Below are 20,126 nucleotides of genomic sequence, written 5' to 3' on the forward strand. Positions count from 1 at the left end.
AGCCACTTGTATTGGAGGAGTTCCCACCAGGGGGGTGGCTGCCCTCCTTGAATCTCGTTGAGTGAAAAGTTGCCTACTGTGACCGGAGCGCTGAGTTAGAGCAGAAACCTTCATTCGGCCATTTCTTGTTGATTTCATCACTTCACCTGTGGAGTGTAAATTCACTGACACAGCCTTTTTTTGGAGGGCAGCCTGGCAATCATTTAAACTTCAAAATATCTTTTGATCCAGCATTTCCATTTCTAAGGTCGTATGCTATGGAATTACTTACAGAAAAATGGTGCAAAGATATGTATTAAAAAAAATTCTTGGCCGGGTGCAGTGGCTGACATCTGTAATCCCAGCACTTTGGGAGGCCGAGGAGGGTGGATCACCTGAGGTCAGGAGTTCAAGACCAGCCTGACCAACATGGCGAAACCCGATCTCTACTAAAAATACAAAAATTAGCTGGGCGTGGTCGTGCACGCCTGTAATCCCAGCTACTTGGGAGGATGAGGCAGGAGAATTGCTTGAACCCGGGAGGCAGAGGTTGCAGTGAGCCGAGATCATGCCACTGCACTTTAGCCAGAGTGACAGAGCGAGATTCCATCTCGAAAAAAAAGAAAAGAAAAAAAAGTTCTTATTGTAGGTCGGGCGCAGTGGCTCACACCTGTAATCCCAGCACTTTGGGAGGCTGAACTGAGCAGATCACATGAGGTCAGGAGTTCAAGACTGGCCTGGCCAACATGTTGAAACCCCGTCTCTGCTAAAAATACAAAAATTAGCCAGGCGTGGTGCTGCATAACTGTAATCCCAGATATTCGGGAGACTGAGGCAGGAGAATCGCTTGAACCTGGGAGAAAGAGGTTGCAGTGAGCTGAGATCATGCCACTGCACTGCAACCTGGGCGGCAGAATGAGACTCCATCTAAAAAAAAAAAAAAAAAAAAAAAAAGCCAAAAAATTCTTATTGCAGTTGTATCTGTAAGGGGGAAGAAAAACCCATATGAGAGACTGGTTAAATTATGACCTGTCTAGTTGTGTTGTGTGCTCATTAAAAGCAAAAGGAAGATCCGTTTCTATGTTGATGAAAAGATGTTCAGATGCATGAAGTAAAAAAGTCATAGAGCTTTATGTATGGGGTCACTCCACTTCTGTTAGAAAAATACTGTATTCCTGCAGTGTAAAACTCTGCTGGTTAAAAACAAAACTGTATTAACAGGTATAGAAAAGTCTGCTTGGAGTTTCTCTCTGGATGATGAGATCATGATGTTCTGTGTTACCTAGTTTTATTTATAAGTTTATTTTTACTATGAGCATGTATTTCTTTTATAAACTCAGAGAAGGTTAAAAAGTCAGCCCTCTGAGTAGGTATGGGCTCTGGGTCTGGGGTAAGGGGCACAAGCCCTTCATTCCAGTGATTGAATTTCCCTATTGGCAAATCCTTCATTTGCATTGTTTACAGTGAGCTTTTAGTTTTTGCAGACAGAAGGCTCTACAAGAAGGCAGAAAAGTTTCATTTTTAAAAAAGAAAGGCCAGGCAAGGTGGCTCAAGCCTGTAGTCCCACCTACTCAGAAGGCCGAGATGAGAGGATTGCTTGAGGCCGGGAAGCAGAGGTTGCATTGAGCCAAGTTTACCCCACTACACTCCAGCCTGGGTGATAGAGTGAGACCCCCTGTCTCAAAAAAAAGAAAAAGAAAAAGTCAGAGGACTGTCTTGTGCTAATTTTAAATGTCAGTGACTAGAACTTAAGCATGGTTTGTTTTCTTATTAGTTTTTGCCAGCATAAGAATCTACTGGGGAAAGTCGTATTTTTATTGGCCAGAGGAGGTCTGCTTCCTGTGAGCAGCTGAACAGCTGTGGCTCCTGAGAACGCAGAGACCTGGCCAGCGCACTCTGTGCGGTGCCTGACCCCACTGCCCTGCCTTTGTCTAGTTCCAGTGCGACGGCCTCTCAGCCGCCGGAGTCGCTGCCGCAGCCGGGTTTGCAGAAATCTGTCTCCAATTTGCAGAAACCGACACAGTCAATCAGTCAGGAGGTAGGTGCTGGGACCCCATCCCAACTGTTTCCTGGGCATGGTAGCCCCTAAATCTCTTTGTTGCTGGGGGATGGAAGGAGTTGCTACTGAGAAGTGTGGTTGTGCATGACCTGTCTATTCCAGAGGCACACCCGATGAGTGACTTTAGAAAACCGTCATGGGAAACCGTCAAGGTCAGTGGTTAAGAAATTTAATCTGCAGCTTTTAGAAAAAGACCTCAGATACAGACTAGGATACAGGCACCTACTTTGGTTCCTCTTGATTTACCGTGAGGCAGGGTCACTCAGGCTGGACTGCAGACTAGTTCAGGGTGAAGCTCCATGGAAGCGTCACGTGAGCTCCATGGAAGCTTGGGTCACAGGAAGACAAAAAGTGGCAGGTCACAAAAAGGTTCACTGGCCAGGTGAGTTTGAAAAACAAAACGAAGCGAGCTCCTTTACTGCGGTACTTCTCAGTGCCTTTCATATGCTAATACCTAATGTGACTCTCTGAGAAGAGGATATAATGGGCAGCAGTCCCTGAATTTATTTGTCCCAGGAAACATTTCTTTACCGAATGTCTCTAGGGACTAATGTCTCTCAGAACACGCTTTGGGAAATACGAAGCTACAATCCTTCATTTGTTGATATGTTTTAAGTGTTTTTCTAAGCAGAAAGTAATGATTTCACCAAGCAAGAGCTCATAACACACTCAGTCCATCAGAGCCTGGCTACAGGTTTCCAGAGATTGGCAGGAGGATATACTTAGCCAGAACTAGAAATCTAGATGAGAAGTCTATGAATTTTTTAGAAGACTAAAAGTAGACGTAGATATCTCATATTCACCAGCTCTCTTGACAGCGGGAATGAACATATTTTGGTTTTGCTTTGCTGCATGGGCAATATAAGGTCTCAAATGTCATCCCCTCTCTGCTTTAACCATACTCAGGGAAGTCTGTGGCTTTGCCAGGGCACCCTCTCCCCACCTAACACTGAACCGTGCTTTTAAAATTAAAGACAAGAAAAGAGGTCTATAATCATGCAAGATGCCCTTTTCCTTGGCCTAAATCCACTGGGACCCATAGGCTAGTCAGAGTATTTAGAGTTGAGTTCCTTTCTGCTTCCCAGAATTTGAAAGAAAAGGAGTGAGGTGATAGAGCTGAGAGATCAGATTTGCCTCTGAAGCCTGTTCAAGATGTATGTGCTCAGACCCCACCACTGGGGCCTGTGGGTGAGGTCCTGGGCATCTATTTGAATGAATTGCTGAAGGGGAGCACTATGCCAAGGAAGGGGAACCCATCCTGGCACTGGCACAGGGGTCACCTTATCCAGTGCTCAGTGCTTCTTTGCTGCTACCTGGTTTTCTCTCATATGTGAGGGGCAGGTAAGAAGAAGTGCCCAGTGTTGTGCGAGTTTTAGAACATCTACCAGTAAGTGGGGAAGTTTCACAAAGCAGCAGCTTTGTTTTGTGTATTTTCACCTTCAGTTAGAAGAGGAAGGCTGTGAGATGAATGTTAGTTGAGTGGAAAAGACGGGTGAGCTTAGTGGTTAGAGACTCGAAAGGGCACTGGACATAGGCAGGCTGGAGACTGGTCCTGGTCCTGCTGTTCTGCATCTGACTCAGTCACTCTTCTCTGAGCCTCAGTGGGGGATGTGACTAGAGCCTTCTCAGGGGGTGGTGAGCATTCAGTCAGGCTGGGTGTGCTTCGCATAATGCTGACCCTGGCGAGTTTTCAGCAGAGGTGACCTCCTAGGGTTCTCAGGAGGGGAGCTGTGCCTTGTAGAGTCACGGTCACTACAGAAAGTGCTGCAGCCAGCCCACCCAGATCAAGATCTGGCATGTTGGCCTTCTTTGTTCACGTTCCTCATTAGCAGCTGCGCAGTTTTAAAGACACATGCCGGAACTGGGCCTTAGTCTTTGTCGCTGGAGCAAAATAAAGTAGCTCTCTGTGGACACGGGAGGTTCCAGAGCACCGAATGGAGAGAAACAGGTTTGGGTCCTGGCTTTGCTGTGTCACTGTCTGTGTGACTTGAAGCTGGTCACTCCCCAAATCCTGCTCCTTGTCTGTAGAGTGGGCCTGGCATTTTCTCGTCCCTGGGACCGCTGTGTGGAGTGTGCGTTACAGGGAAGGTTCAGGGCTTTGCTGCTGCTCAGAAAGTGGTGGTGGATGGATCCGTATAGGGTTTGAATCTAAGGTGCTGGCCTCTCAGCACCTTGTTGTAATAGGCTGTTATTGTACAGTGGAATAAGGGAGCTGGCCCTCTTCTGATTCTCTTCCTTCTTTCAGAATACAAATTCAGTGCCAGGTGGACCAAAGTCATGGGCACAGCTGAATGGAAAGCCAGTAGGACACGAAGGTGGTAAGTGCGCACGTGTGTGTGTTGTTTGGGGACGCTGGGGAGAGGGAGGTGAATGCCTTTTCCAGAATGTCTGGTTGGGTCTAGGCACCCAGAAGCTTTGAGGACTCTCTTCCACAAAGAGGTACCGTCTATGGAGCCCTTGCCTGTGCACAGCGGGCGCTGACTCTGTAGAGGTGCCAGCTCTTTGGTTTCTTTGGATGTGTGCTCTTGCTGAGACAGAGGAGTGCTGACTGGGCTGTGCTGCTGGTGATTTTTGATGATAGCTTGAATGTTTCTAGCATACTGTGCTTCAGACCAAACTAGGCAGCAGCTCTGAGTGGGAAGGAGAGTGGTCGTGGTGTGGGCAGACGATTCAAAGGAATGTACTGGGGAAAGCCCACAATTCACTTTCTCCTGTAAAGCAGCACTGGCTGCCCTTTATTACCCTTTGCCACCATCCTGATATCGCCTTCTGCTTCCTGCACTACCCCTGCCAGCCAAGGCTTCACCAGACTTGGTCTTTAGTAGCCTGTATTAGAAAACCAGCTGCACATCCTTCGTTACCTGAACCTCACCCCCAGCCTGCCATGCCTAGGAGGTCCTGCCCCTTATGGGTTGAAATCCCTGTGCTCAAAGGCTCTTCCCTCAGTCTCCAACGGGAAATGACCGATCAATGTGCCAATTGGATTTCAGTGCCCCAGCTTCTCCCAAGGGGCTGAGGGTACAGATCGAGTGCCAGCAGGAGTGCAGTGGCACAATTATAGCCCATTGCAGCCTCGATCTCCCGGGCTCAAGCAATCCTCCCACCTCAGCTTCCTGAGTAGCTGGGACTACAGGTGTGTACCACGACATCTGGCTGATTTTTTTTTTTTTTCTTTCCATTCTGAGTAGAGACAAGATTTCACTATGTTGCCCAGGCTGATCTCAAACTCCTAGGCTCAAGAGATCCTCCCACTTCAGCCTCCCAAGTAGCTGGGGCTGGGATCACAGGCGCATGCACCACCACGCCTGGCTTATTGATTAATTGATTGACTGAGTGATTGATTGGTTGCGACGAGATCTCACTATGTTGCTCAGGCTGGTCTCCAACTCCTGGGCTCAAATGATCCTCCTACCTTGGCCTCCCAGAGTGCTGGGATTACAGACGTAAGCCACCGTGCCTGACCTCAAAAGGGTCTTTGAAGATGCTTTATGAAGAGCATTCACTGGACTTGTAACTGGTTCTTTGGCTTTCCATATCTTATATTTCTGTAAGGTTAGAATTTTTTGTTTTGTTTTTGTTTTTTTTGAGACAGAGTCTTGCTTTGTCACACAGGCTGGAGTGCAGTGGCACAATAGCTCACTGCAACCTCCATAAGGTTAGAATTTTTAAAAATAGATAGAATATATTAATTTTTATTTAAAAAGAACTACAAAAATTAAAAGAAAAACTTCTGTATAAATTGGCCCAACTCCTATGGAAGCCAGTTTGGCGCTGCCTGGCAAAATAATAACACATAATACCCTTTGACCTAGCAAGTGCACCCTGAGGAAATTGCTCTACAAATTATACTCGCCCGTGTGTGAAATGACTTGCGCATAAGATTATTCACTGCAACATTATAATAGCAAAAGATTGCAAACAGTCCCTTGAAATGCCTGTAAAATTATGGTACTTTAATGAAATGTGATTTGGCTATAAAGAAAAAAAGCAGAAGTTTTCTATTGATTTGGCAAGATCTTCAGGTGAAAAAAAGTACAGAATGGTATGTATAGTATCTTAACCATTTGTGTAAAAAATGGGGGTGAGGGCTGGACACCTGTAATCCCAGGACTTTGGGAGGCTGAGGCAGAAGGATTGCTTGAGTCCGGTAGTTCGAGACCAGCCTGGGCAACATGGTGAAACCCTGTCTCTACAAGAAATACAAAAAATCAGCCAAGTGTGGTGGCAGACACCTGTAGTCCCAGCTACTTGGGAGGCTTGAGGCAGGAGAATCACCTGAGCACCAGAGGTGGAGGCTGCAGTGAGCTGTGGTCACACTCCTGTACACCAACCTGGGTGACAGAGCAAGACCCTATCTTAAAGGACAAAACAGAAAAATGGGAGTGAGAAAAAATACACTTCTAAAAAATGTTGTATATGCATGTTTTAAAAGCCACCCATCTGTATACTGATGTATATGTGTTTAAAAATCTCCAGAAGGTAACAGAAAACTGCCAGTTTTTTTGAGGGAGTCAGAAGGGGGCAAATGGGCATAGGGGTGAGAGGAAGGCTTCTGTGTCTACCTTTACATGGTGTTCACTTCTGAACCATGTCACTGTGTTACCTATAAAAAATGTAGGTAATGTAACTGTATCACAATAAAGCTTGATGGAGAAAATAATTTTAAACTGGACGTGGTGGCACACACCTGTTATCCCAGCTACTTGGAAGGCCAAGGTGAGAGGATTGGTTGAGCCCAGGAGTTTAAGTCCAGCCTGAAAAACATAGCAAGACCCTTTCTCTACACAAAATTTAAAAAAACAAAGAAAATAATTGCAGGCAGAAACCTGCCAGCCCACAGAATCGACACACTGGGCAGGGTGGGGGCCAAGTGTAAAAGTCAGTTTCAGTTCCCCCTCTCGTGCTAGAGTCATGCATCTGTGACACTGTCAGGAGTGTGGGGATTTGAGGGTGTTGCCCACAAGTGTTTTCATGACTCTTTGGAATTCAAAAGGACTTTTCCTGAATTGATAGACTCAGTTGATAGGTCACCTGAAACAGACCCAGGAGACCTGATTGCATGTTTGGGCAGAGGTCAGAGGCTCAGATACCAGCTGCTGCCCCACCAGTGGCTCAGCCTGTGACCTCGGAAGAAGCCCCCTGACTTTCCTGCCTCAGTTTCTCATGGCAGAGAACAGATGGCAGGTGAACATCATAAAACATTGGGACCTTATGAATACTGGTATTTTGGTGTGAGATTTTTTTTTTTCCTACCCTTTATCCTTATTAAGATTAATTCATGCTTACAATAATATATTCATGATTCTCGAAGCAGAAGAAAGAGATGGAACAGCAATGTTGGACAGGTGCTGGTTTTTTTCCTAATTTCAAATCTACCTTTTTTTTTGTTTGTTTGTTTGTTTTTTTTTAGGCAGGGTTTCATTCTGTTGCCCAGGCTGGAGTGCAGTAGTGCAGTTTTGGCTCACTATAGCTTCAGTCTTCTGGGCTCAAGCAATCTTCCCGCCTCAGCCTCCCAAGTAGATGGGACTACAGGCATGCACCACCATGCCCGGCTAATTTTTGTGATTTTTGTAGAGATGGGGTTTCATCATGTTGTCCAGGCTGGTGATACTGTATTTTAAAAATACAGTTTTTATTTGATTCTTGCCAGTGACCTTCTACCATAATGAAGCGACTCTGAGTCAGAGCCCCCTTCACAGAGCACTGGAGCTCCTTCATGACACTTAGAGTCCATCTCTGGCTGGTCATTGGTGAATGGTGTCCAGTCTTACCGTCAGGTTTATTTGACCCTGGACCTTTTTACTAAGGGAGTGGCAAGCGAATTGCTGCCACGTGCTTGTGTGGTGATCCAGCCGCGCCTTTCCGGCACAGTCGGCTTTAGTGAACAGGCCCGTGGATCAGTGGTGCTAAGAATAATTTAAACTACTTAGGGGAAGATTTGGGTTTAGCTGTATAGGGAACAAGGCATTCCACAGGGGGCCATTTGTTGTGTGGTGTCGCCACTGTTCCTAGATTGCTCCTGTCTGGAGTGTGCTGCATATTCCAGATCAAAAGACGTGCCATTTTTAATCTGTTCATCCAAAAATGGTGGCAGAACCTCTGTGCTAAGTTTTCTGTGTAAGGGAACAACATTAGGAAAGGCTTCTTCTCTAAAGCAGGTTGTAATGTCAAGGAATGAATGAAAGAATGAAGAAATAAACTGTTCCCAGGATTATAAGAGTGAAATGTTTGGCCTTGTAGGGCTCAAGGAACTTAGTACAAAATGCGGAAGGACAGGTGAATGAGGAGTTACTCATGTGTATAAATCTAATTTCCACCTGATCTTACCACATTTGATGGTAGAAAGCAGCATTTGTTTATTTTATTTTATTTATTTTATTTTATTTTATTTTATTATTTTTTTTTTTTGAGACGGAATCTCGCTCTGTTGCCCAGGCTGGAGTGCATTGGCACGATCTCGGCTCACTGCAAGCTCCATCTCCTGGGTTCACGCCATTCTCCTGCCTCAGCCTCCCGAGTAGCTGGGACTACAGGCGCCCGCCACCACGTCTGGCTAATTTTTTTTTGTATTTTTAGTATAGATGGGGTTTCACCATGTTAGCCAGGATGGTCCCGATCTCCTGACCTCATGATCCGCCCGCGTCGGCCTCCCAAAGTGCTGGGATTACAGGCGTGAGCCACCACGCCTGGCCTATTTTTTTATTTTTAGAGAGAGGGTCTCACTTTGTCACCCAGACTGGAGTGCAGTGGCACGTTTTCGGCTCACTGCAACCTCCACCTCCCGGGCTCAAGTGATCCTCCCACCCCAGCCTCCTGAGTAGTTGGGACTACAGGCGCCCGCCACCAGACTAATTTTTTGTATTTTTTGGTAGAGACAGGGTTTTGCCATGTTGCCCAGGCCGGTCTTGAACTCCTGAGTTCAAATGATCCACCCACCTTGGCCTCCCAAAGTGCTAGGATTACAGGTGTGAGCCACTGTGCCAGGCAAAAGCAGCATCTTAATCCTTTTGGGGTGGACTGGGGCAGGGATGGCAGCACACTCTGTAGGTGTTGCCTCCACAGGAAAGCAGTTGCCTTCTTGGCCTCCCCTGGGCTGATTTTATAGGAGGCTGTGCTTGTCTGTGGCCCCAGGCAGTCAGTAGAACCTTCCCTGCTGGGGCAGGCTGTGGCCTGGAGCGGCTGTGATGTCTTACCTCTTTCCATTTGTAAGCAGGCACTGGTCCTTGCAGGTCAGCTGGGAAGGGGCATGATGCTGTCAGCAGCAGTCTCCCTTGCCACCCTCAGCACCCTCGTGGCATCTGCCAGCACAGAGCACCCTTGTGACAAGACTCCCTTCAAAAGCCCACTTCCAGGCAACACGGCTTTCAAGGTGTGGAGCTGGGAAGCAGACGACTGTTGACTCCATCTCACTTCCTCCATGTCTACCCCGTCTTCTTGACAGGTTTAAGGGGCTCAAGCCGACTGTTATCCTTCTCTCCCGAGGAATTTCCGACGCTGAAAGCAGCTGGAGGGCAGGACAAGGCTGGCAAAGAAAAGGGCGTCTTAGATCTGTCGTATGGGCCAGGACCAAGCCTCCGCCCTCAGAGTAAGTGACTGCAGCCTCTGGGCACTCGATGGAGTAACAGAACTTCCTCCTCTCATCTCTCTGCACTCCTAAAAGGGTGCTGATGCCACTGGGGTCTCCGGTTCGAGCTGGAAACGTGGCTCTTTGACTCGCCACGTGATCTGTGCATCCATTGGACTTGCTGCCTAGGCCATTGGATTGGGCCTTGTGCCTTTTTTGTCTCTTGGGTTGGGCCAGGCCTGTCCCCTCCCCCTCTGTCATCCGGTTGTTAATTTTGCTGTGCCTGGTGGCTGTGGCAAGGATGGACAAAGGACCAATTAACTTAGGTCCCCGGTTCAAGAGCTTGTTTTCTAAAGCTCCCAATCCTAGCTACATCTAGTCGGAATCACTGGGGAGTTTGTGAATGAGTCTGATTTCCAGTCCTCCCCTCCCCCAGCCCAATTAGGACCTGTATTTTTAACCCATTCCTCTGGGGATTGTTACATAAATCAGCCTGGTACTGGTCTCTACTGGCCCCTCATCTTAGGTCGGGCCAGGGAAGTGGCAGGATTGTGTAGCACTGGCTGGAAATTTCTCCTTGGAAGCCGAGGGTGGCTGGAGGTTAAGGTGGTGTTTAGGAATGTGATTTTCCACGTGTTCTACTCAGGGATTTTGAAGTGGCTCATGTAGTCCAGGGGTCTTGATCAGGTCTTAAATTGTGAGGCCTTTTGTTTGCTTGCCTTGATGTATCCCCAAGGCCTCTCCCATTCAAGTCATAAGTGATGTCCTGTAAGTCAGTGATCACTGTGGATGTGTCTTACTTAAACCAGCACTCACTGCCTTTCCAGTGGCCCACACAGGACTGGTTTATTTTGCTGCTTTTTTTTTTTTGAGATGGAGTTTCGCTCTTGTTGCCCAGGGTGGAGTGCAATGGTGCGATCTCTGCTCACTGCAACCTCCGCCTCCCGGGTTCAAGTGATTCTCCTGCCTCAGGCTCCCGAGTAGCTGGGATTACAGGCATGTGCCACCACACCCAGCTAATTTTGTATTTTTAGTAGAGGCGGGTTTCTCCATGTTGGTCAGGCTGGCCTTGAACTCCTGACCTCAGGTGATCCGCCTGTCTCAGCCTCCCAAAGTGCTGGGATTACAGGCGTGAGCCACCGCGCCCAGCCTGTTTGCATCATTTTAAGGGACACGAATTATGTCTTTCTGGGGTTAATTAAGAGGAGCTGCCTTGTGGGACTATAAAAACGTAGACATAGAAGAAGCTTCTAAGCATCAGTTTAATCTCCTCATTGGAGAAGATGAGAAAACATGGACAGAGGGGTGACCTTGGCTTGCCCCAAATCACACAGCAAAGGGGTTGAAGAGCTGGGATCAGACATGTCCTGGGTCTCTTTCCCTTAAGGGTCGTGTAACTCAGAGACCTTTGTGCTTCAACTTCTAACCAAAAGGTGACCGAAAACAGGGGTCTGTTGTCTCATTTGATTTCTTGTTGGCCTCTAATAATTTCCACCCGATCTTACCACATTTGGCAATAGAAAGCATCATTTTAAAAAGACAGGTCAGCAGGTTTCCGTCTGTGAGCTACGCAAGTGCCCCACACCTCCACTGGAAGGACAGCAGCTGCGCCTTGCCTGTCTTGTGGGCTGGGGGATCTTTATTAAAAGGTGCCACTGCTAAACAAAGCCTGAAACCACTGTGCCCGGAACTTGCTCCTGTTTTAATGTGTAGTCCAGTGCTGACCCTAAGTGGGCTGGTCAGTGTTTGTTGAAGGAATGACCCAAGGCTGGTTTCATCAGGGCCATCTTCATCTCTCTGGGTTGTGAGACTTGGGGAAGGGTGGTGATTGTTGCTTACTGATGAAGCCTTCTCTCTGAGTAGATCTCATTTTATATTTCACAGTCAGACTTCCCTCAGCAAGTTCATCCTCATTGGCCAGGGGTCTGCCCCAACCTTCCCTGACAGATTTAACAGTTCTTCACTTTTGGTGTTTTTTGTTTTTCATTTTATTTTTTTGGTGAAGGAGGGGGTCCCTTGACCTTCAGAACCTCATACGATCCCTCCTTCCCCCTCCTCTTCCCTCTCCCCTTTTGCCCCCTTTCAATTTCCAGATGTGACAAGCTGGAGGGAGGGCGGTGGGCGACACATAATTTCTGCCACGTCTCTGAGCACCTCCCCAACTGAGCTGGGCAGCAGGAACTCGAGTACGGGAGATGGAGCCCCCTCCTCGGCATGTACCAGCGATTCTAAGGACCCCTCTCTCCGCCCGGCTCAGCCTGTCCGAAAAGGGGCTTCACAGTTCATGGGAAATGTATACCACCCACCTACATACCATGACATGCTTCCTGCTTTTGTAAGTCTTCAGAGTGTACTTTTTTTCCCCCCATGAAGTTGGATTGTGTCCAGCAGATAGGTCAAGTGGTTGAATGTCCCCCTTGGGGTCTCCTCTTGGCCCTGTTACCCTACTTCTGAGGCTTCCACTCGTTTTGCATTTTCTCTCCCTGCTTTTTAAATCTTCAGGGCCTCTGACTTCTTTCCCTGGTGATGTGGATATGATTTTAGCCTTTGGTTCTTTAGAAACAGGAGAGGCAGGTTTTCCCTGACATAGGTCCCCAAGTCTACTTACTGGCAGCAGGAATGAAATGGGGGAGATGGTGGTAGGATTAATTAGGAAACCCCATGACTTTCCTGTTTCTTTTTCCCATTTTCCACTTTATAAAACACATTCTGATTTAAGTGGAAATTGCAGTTTCAGCCATTACCAGCAAATCCTGTTCATTGATGTTATGTTTCAGATGTGTTCGCCGAAGTCATCAGAAAACCAGGGTACAGTGGAACGAGGCTCTTTTCCCCTTCCTCAGCTCCGCCTTGAACCTCGAGTTCCTTTTAGACAGTTCCAGATGAATGACCAAGACGGGTGAGTCCATTGCATTACAGTCACGTGTGTAGAGATGAGTGCGGTGGTGATTCTGGTCAAGATGAGGGGCTGATGAATAGAAGTGCTGTGTCTCCTGGAGACCACAGAGAACTTAACCAGCTCAGCGTGGCAGGGTGTGTGGGGTGGTGGCTGGGATTTGGAGCTGGATGACAGATTGAGTCATGATTTCAAGTGCCTGGTAGAGTTGAAGTTCTGGCACGTGTGTGTTGCTGCTGCCCTAGGCCTTAGCAACCAGCATGTAAAACTGCAGGACAAGGCAGAACTTCTTTCTGGGATGTACTCGTTTGCTCATTATATATTTCTTTTAAAGGAACTGATAGAAATAATTAAATCAAACATGAACCTTTGCAGTGTGGAATTTATTTTTGGAAAGGTATTTGATTTTGCTTCCGTCTGTATACTGGACATGATTCCATCATCTTTTCTTTTATCAGAAAAGAAAACAGGCTGGGATTGTCTCGCCCACTCCGCCCACTAAGGCAGCTGGTGGAGCGGGCACCACGGCCCACCATTATCAATGCGGAAAACCTGAAGGGCCTTGACGATCTGGACGCCGATGCCGATGATGGCTGGGCAGGTGGGCAGAGAAGCACGGGTGGTTTAGACGGGCAGGACCAAAGTCCATATGTACTTACCAGGGATGGAAACCCCCTGGCACCACCGTGTGTTTTCCCTTGGCAAGATAGGGATGAAGAGCCGGACAGGGAAGCAGACCTGATGCCCTCCTTCCTCATTTACTCCCTGACTAGAGGTTCCTTCCTGGCCAAGCCATTAGCTTCTTTTGGTCTTTAGTCTTGATCTTAGAGTTTTGTTGTTAACTTTTTAAAAATTATTGATGATGCAAAATTTAAACAAAAAAGAAAATAGCTCCCAACCACTGATCACTCAGGTTCAATAAGTACCAATGTTCTGCCATTCGGTTTTTGTTTGTTTTAATTTAATTTTTTTCCAAGAGACAGGGTCTCAGCTACTCTGGGCATACTGCCTGTGGGTTAGCCCTACTCTGCAAGGAGCAGTAAAAAATATAAAGATAAAAAGGAAGGCTGGGCACGGTGGCTAATGCCTATAATTCCTTTGGAAGGCTGAGGTGGGCAGATCACAAGATCAGGAGATCGAGACCATCCTGGCTAACATGGTGAAACCCTGTCTCTACTAAAAATACAAAAATTAGCCAGGTGTGGTGGCGCGTGCCTGTAGTCCCAGCTACTCAGGAGGCTGAGGCAGGAGAATCACTTGAACCTGGGAAGCAGAGGTTGCAGTGAGCCAAGATCGCACCACTGCACTCCAGCTTGGGCGACAGAGGGAGACACTGTCTCAAAAAAAAAAAAAAAAAAAAAAAAAAAGGAAAGAGAAAGAGTCTGGCTGTGTTTCCCATTCTGGAGTGGAGTGGCTGTTTGCAGGGTCCATCATGGTGAGCTGCAGCCTCAAACTCTTCCTCCTTCCTCAGCCTCCGGAGTAGCTGGAACTACACGCGGGTGCCACAAACCCAGCTTGTTCTGCCATTCTTATTCGTTTATCTCCCCCCACTCCCCATCCCCCAACCTGATTATTTTCTTTTATAGTTCTTTTTATTTTCAAGTAGATTTAAATTATAGTGAAAGGTACCCATATCACATTTTACCTGTACAGTTTTACAAATGGATACGTGTATATCACACACATCCATATCCAGAGAAAGAGGGAACATTTCCCTCACCACCGCAGGCTTCCTCATTGCTTCTCCAGTGCTCTGCCCTGCCACCGCTCAAGGGCCTGCTGCTCTTCTGATTCACTTTACCCTAGATTAGTTTTGCCTAGTTAACAGACTTCAGATGAGTGGAGTCATACAGTTTTTACTCTTGTATGGTTTTCATATTCATCAATGTTGTTTATATGCCAGTTGCTTTTAGTTGCTGAGATATGTTCCAGTGCATCAATATACTGTAATTTGTTTATTCATTCAAAAGCCCCACTATATACATCATACTTCTATTTCTCTTGGGTAAGTATCTAGAATTGTTGGGTCAAAGGGTAGACATAGGATTAAGTGTTTAAGACCTGTCCAAACCTTTTCCCCTGGTGGTTGTGCCATTTTACATTCCCAGCAGCAGTGTGTGAGAATTTGGTAGGTCTGGATCTTACATTTTGGTGTTCATCTTTTTTTTTTTAAAGAGACAGGGTCTCACTTTGTTTCCTAGGTTGGAGTGCAGTGGTGTGATCAAAGCTCACTGCAGCCTTGAACATGTTTGTGTTTTTAATTTTAGTCATTCTAGTGGGTGTTTAGTGGTATCTCATTGTGCTTTTAATTTGCATTTTGCTGATGACTAATGATGATAAACACACTTTTATGTGCTATTTGACAGCTGATATATTGTCCTTTGTTTGGTATCTGAATTTTAAAAAATTGAGTGGTAGGGTACCAGCCCAGGATACAAATCCTTTGCAACTTTTATTTTGCAAATATATTTCCTTATTGCATTCTTTGTCTTAATTTTTTTTAAACACTGTTTTGGTGAGCAGAAGTTTGAATTTTGAAGTTTAATTTACAAATTTGGGTTTTTTTGTGGTTATTATTTTTGTGTCCTGTTTAAAAAAATGTTTGCTTCCCCTTGGTGGTAAAGATGTTCCTAGATGTTTTATAGTTTTAACTATTAATTTTAGGTCTTTGATCCACATTGGATTAATTTTTGTATATGGCATAAGATAGGAGTCAAGGTTTGTTTTTTCCCATACGGCCAATTCTCCACAACATTTGTTGATAAGACTTCACTTTCCCTATCGAATTGCTTTGGAACCTTTGCCAAAAGTCAATTGACTATAAAAGCATTGGTCTATTTCTGGACACTGTTCCATTGATCTAGTTGTTCCTCATACCAGTACCACACTGTGGGTTTATAGTAAATCTTAAATTTCAGTAGTGTAAGTTTTCCAACTTTGTCGTTTTCCAAGATTGTTTCCACATAAATTTAGAATCAACCTGTCAGTATTTACAAAGGGCCTGCGGGCATTTTGGTTAGGATTATGTTGAATCTGTATCAACATCGATAAGTGACATCTTAAATTTTTTTTTTTTTTTCCCGAGACAGAGTCTTGCTCTATTGCCCAGGCTGGAGTTCAGTGGCATGATCTCGACTCATTGCAACCTCCGCCTCCCGGGTTCAAGTGATTATCTTGCCTCAGCCTCCCGAGTAGCTGGAATTATAGGCGCGCACCACATGCCCAACTAATTTTTGTATTTTTAGTAGAGACAGGGTTTCACCATGTTGGCCAGGCTGGTCTCGAACTCCTGACCTTGTGATCTGCCCACCTCAGCATCCCAAAGTGCTGGGATTACAGGCGTGAGCCACTGCACCCCACCTGACATCTTAACTTTGAAACTTGGTGGTGTTTTTTTTTTTGGATATGGGGTCTCACTCTGCCACACAGGCTGGAGTGCAGTGGCATGATCTCAGCTCATTGCAACCTCTGCTTCCTGGGTTCAAGTGATTCTCATGTCTCAGCCTTCCAAGTAGCTGGGATTACAGGTGTGGGCCACTATGCCCTACTAATTGTTGTATTTTTAGTAGAGACGAAGTTTCACCATGTTGGCCAGGCTGATCTCGAACTCCTGACCTCAGGTGATAGGTCCGCCTTGGCCTCCCAAAGTGCTGGGATTACAGGTATGAGCCACCATGTCCAGTCCTTAATTTTGAATCTTTAGGTCCAGGAACCTGGTGTATCTCTTTATTAGGGCTTTCATTTCTCTCAGCAGTGTCTTACTTACAGTTTTCATGTAGAGGTCCTGAATGTCTTTTGTTAAATTTATTCTCAGGCATTTTACGGTTTTTTGATGCTATTAGAAATGACATTGATTTTTAAGAACAATTTCATTTTTTAAGGGTTTGCTGTCATTATATAGAAAATACAGCTGAGGCCGGGCGCAGTGGCTCACGCCTGTAATCCCACCACTTTGGGAGGCTGAGGTGGGTGGATCACAAGATCAGGAGATTGAGACCATCCTGGCTAACATGGTGAAACCCCGTCTCTGCTAAAAATACAAAAAATTAGCCGGGCGTGTTGGCACGCGCCTGTAGTCCCAGCTACTTGGGAGGCGGAGGCAGGAGAATTGCTTGAACTCGGGAGGCGGAGGTTGCAATGAGCCAGGATCGTGCCACTGCACTCCAGCCTGGGTGACAGAGCGAGACTCCATCTCAAAAAAAAAAGAAAATACAGTTGATTTTTTTGTGTTCACTGGTACCAGACACTTTGTTGAATATACATTAGTTTTACTAGTTTTTGTTGATTTCTTAGAGTTTTCTACATAAACCCTTATGTAGTTTGTAAATAAGGAGTTTTACATTGTCTTTTTCAGATTACGTGCCTTTTATTTATTTATTTGTATTTTGCCTTATTGCACTGTGGTATACTTCTAGTATAATATTAACCTCAAGTTCTTTCTGGTCTGAGGAAGAAAATGTTTCATGTGTCAGCATGAAGTGTCAGCTGTGGGTTTTTCAGAGATGCTGTTTATCAGGTTGAGGATGTGTTGCCTTCTGTGTCTAGTTTGCTGAGCCTTTGGGTTTTTTGTTTTTGTAAATTATGGGTATTGCATTGTGTTCAATGATTTCCTACATCTGTGTTCATATTATTTTTCTCCTTTATTTTGATAATAGATTGCATTTTTTTTTAATGCTAAACCAACCTTGCATTCTTAGAATAAACCCTCCCTCTTTGTATGCCTAGACTCAATTTGTTAATATGTTTTAAAGTTCTGTCATGAGGGATATTAGTTTGTAATTTTCTGTTCTTTTAATGTCTTTGTCAGGTTTTGGTATCAAGTTATGCTGGGCTTATAAAATGAGTTGTGGAGTGTTCTTCTCTACTTTCCTAAAGAATAAGATTGGTATTTTTGTAAGATCAGTATAAGATTGGTATTTTTGTAAGATCAGTATTATATATTTTTCTTTTTCTTTCTTTTTTGAGACAGGGTCTCTCTCACTTTGTCACCCAGGCTGAGTGCACTGCTGCAATAATGGCTCAACGCAGCCTCAAACTCCTGGGCTCAAGTGATCCTCCTGCCTCACCTTCTGAGTGGCTGGGGTTACAGGTTTGGGCCACTGTGCCTGGCCAGTATTACTTTACCAGTGAAACAATTTTGCCCCTTCAGTTTTCATTGTGGAAATGTTTTCAGTAATTTATTTTATTTGATTAGTTATGAGACTGTGCAGTTTCCCTATGTCATTTCGTGTGAGTTTTTCGGTAAGTTGTGTTTTTTGAGGAATTTGTTCATTTCTTTTGAGTTGTTGAAATTATTAACATAAAGTTGTTGAAAATATATTACATTATCCTTTTGATGTCTGTAGGATCTGTAGTGATATCTTTTAATTCCTGATAATTTGTATATTTCTTTTTCTTCATTTCTGCCAAGGAATTGAATTGTTTTATTAATCTTTACGAAGCAGCAGCTTTTAGCATTGTTCATTTTCTCCATTGTTTGACTTGTTTTCTGTATCTATTTTAAATGATTTTTTAAATCATTGAGGCAATTTTTTATTACGGGGACATTTCTAGATTGCTAATTTAGTTGTCTTACAGCCAGAGAGCACATTCTGTATGATTTCAGTTGTTTTCAAGTTAGTAAGACTTGTTTTATGACTAGGATATGATCTGTCTTGGAGAATATTTCAGGTGCCCTTTGAAAAGTATATATTCTACAGTTGTTGTTCAGTGTCATGTTTTGTATGTTCCAACTTAGTCAAGGTGGTTGATGGTGGCATTCAGATCTTACTGTATATTTACTGATGTTTTTGTCTGCTTCTATGAGTTAAGGAAAGTGAGATGTTAAACTCCAATTATGGATTTATCTGTTCCTCCCTTTAATACTGTTGGTTTCTGCTTCATTTATTTTGAAGCTGCTATTAGGCATACACACATTTATAGTTTCTATGCCTTTCTGGTGTGTTTCCACATTTCCCTCGTTATCTCTAGTAGTCTATTATCTTGCAGTCTGTTTTGTCCTGTGTTCATACCATTGCTCTGACTTACTGTTTTCAGCGAAAATCTTTTTCCATTCTTTTCCTTTAAGCTCCTTTATGTTTGTATTTAAAGTGATTATTTAGTAGACAGCACGTAATTGCAACTTGCTTTTTCAGTTCCTAACTCTGCTTTTTAATTAGATTGAGTTTTTGTTGTTACCTTTTAAATTTTTTTAATTTTAATTTAATTTATTTTTTCTAGAGTTGGGATCTTGCTCTGTTGCCCATGCTGGTCTTAAACTCCTGGGCTCAAGCAGTCCTCCCACCTTAGTCTCCTGTGTAGCCAGGACTGCAGGCATACATCATGGTGCTTAGTTAGCCTTGTGTTTGAGGCAAGATCTTGCTCTGTTGCCCAAGCTGGAGTGCAGTGGCACAGTCACAGCTCACTGCAACGTCAACTTCCTGGGCTTAGGTGATTCTCTCACCTCAGCCTCCGGAGTAGCTGGGACTACAGGTGTGCACCCCCATGGCTGGCTACTTTTCTGTATTTTTAGTAGAGATATGGTTTCGCCATGTTGCCCAGGCTGGTTCAAATTCTGGGCCTCAAGTGATCCTCCTGCCTTGACCTCCCAAAGCGCTGGGATTACAGGCGTGAGCCACTGTGAATTATATGATTATATGATTCACATAATTTTAATATAATTATATGATTGACATAATTGTCATATAACATAAAATTTACCCTTTTAAAGTCTATAGTTTAGTGGTTTTTAGTATATATTCACAAGGTTGTACAACTACCACCACTATTCAATTTCAGAATGTTTCCATCACTCAAAAAAGAAACCCAATACCTGTTGGCAGGCGCTCTCTCCCACCTCCTAATCCTGTGGCAACAATAAATCTACTTTCCATCTCTATAGATTTGCATATTCTGGACATTTCCTATCAATGGAATCAATATGTGGCCTTTCTTGTCTGGCTTCTTTCACTTAGTATAATGTTTTCACAGTTAATTATGTTATAGCATGTGTTTGTATTCATTCTTTTTCATGACCAAATAATATTCCATTGTGTGGACCTACCACACTGTGTTCACACAGTCCTCTGTGATGGATACTTTCTGCCATCTGAGCCACTTGGGCTGATCAGTGCCTGGGGCAAGTGGTAACTCACAAATCTCACAAGTCAAGCTTCTGTATTCTAAGGGTAGACAACTACTTGGTTTCTGCCTGCTTTGTTCATCCTCTTGGGCCTTGAAATAGATTTTAAAGATATAATGTTCAGATTTAAGAATTGTTACCTGTGGGAGGGTTAGTCTAACCAAGCTGCCCTGCTCTTACCAGAAGCCAAAACTGCCCTTCAGTCACAGGGGTAGGCAGCCAGGTGGTTGACTCAGCTCCTCTGCTGGGATAGCGAGATTTCTGGCCAAAAGAACCTCTCCGATGGTGCCTGGGTACCACTGACCTTTTCTTTTTCTTTTTTTTTTTTTCGAGATGGAGTCTCGCTCTGTCGCCCAGGCTGGAGTGCAGTGGCATGATCTCGGCTCACTGCAACCTCTGCCTCCTGCGTTCAAGCGATTCTCCTGCCTCAGCCTCCTGAGTAGCTAGTATTACAGGCACACGCCACCATGCCCGACTAATTTTTGTATTTTTAGTAGAGACGGGGTTT

At 44.9% G+C, this 20,126-nt stretch overlaps 1 protein-coding gene across 5 annotated transcripts in view, besides 2 other annotated features; it reads left to right on the forward strand.

Annotated features, from left to right (window-relative positions):
• Positions 1-20,126, forward strand: part of PRRC2B (proline rich coiled-coil 2B) — a 126,543-nt gene that overhangs the window by 61,055 nt on the left and 45,362 nt on the right. For all 5 annotated transcript variants that reach the window (NM_001384822.1, NM_001384818.1, NM_001384823.1 and 2 more), the window contains exons 4-9: positions 1,915-2,017; positions 4,284-4,356; positions 9,480-9,623; positions 11,696-11,937; positions 12,380-12,501; positions 12,957-13,099. In NM_001384822.1, the coding sequence (NP_001371751.1) occupies positions 1,915-2,017; positions 4,284-4,356; positions 9,480-9,623; positions 11,696-11,937; positions 12,380-12,501; positions 12,957-13,099 (827 nt within the window). The remainder of the gene's footprint in view (positions 1-1,914; positions 2,018-4,283; positions 4,357-9,479; positions 9,624-11,695; positions 11,938-12,379; positions 12,502-12,956; positions 13,100-20,126) is intronic.
• Positions 1,371-2,346: an enhancer, noted in NCBI's record as "OCT4-NANOG-H3K27ac-H3K4me1 hESC enhancer chr9:134311463-134312438 (GRCh37/hg19 assembly coordinates)". NCBI's record gives its function as "activates a minimal SCP1, AML or CMV promoter by ChIP-STARR-seq in primed H9 embryonic stem cells {active_cell/tissue: H9 hESC(primed)}" and the evidence as "EXISTENCE:reporter gene assay evidence [ECO:0000049][PMID:30033119]".
• Positions 2,347-3,320: an enhancer, noted in NCBI's record as "OCT4-NANOG-H3K27ac-H3K4me1 hESC enhancer chr9:134312439-134313412 (GRCh37/hg19 assembly coordinates)". NCBI's record gives its function as "activates a minimal SCP1, AML or CMV promoter by ChIP-STARR-seq in primed H9 embryonic stem cells {active_cell/tissue: H9 hESC(primed)}" and the evidence as "EXISTENCE:reporter gene assay evidence [ECO:0000049][PMID:30033119]".

This window comes from Homo sapiens, chromosome 9, assembly GCF_000001405.40.
Source record: "Homo sapiens chromosome 9, GRCh38.p14 Primary Assembly".
Lineage (NCBI taxonomy): Eukaryota > Metazoa > Chordata > Mammalia > Primates > Hominidae > Homo > Homo sapiens.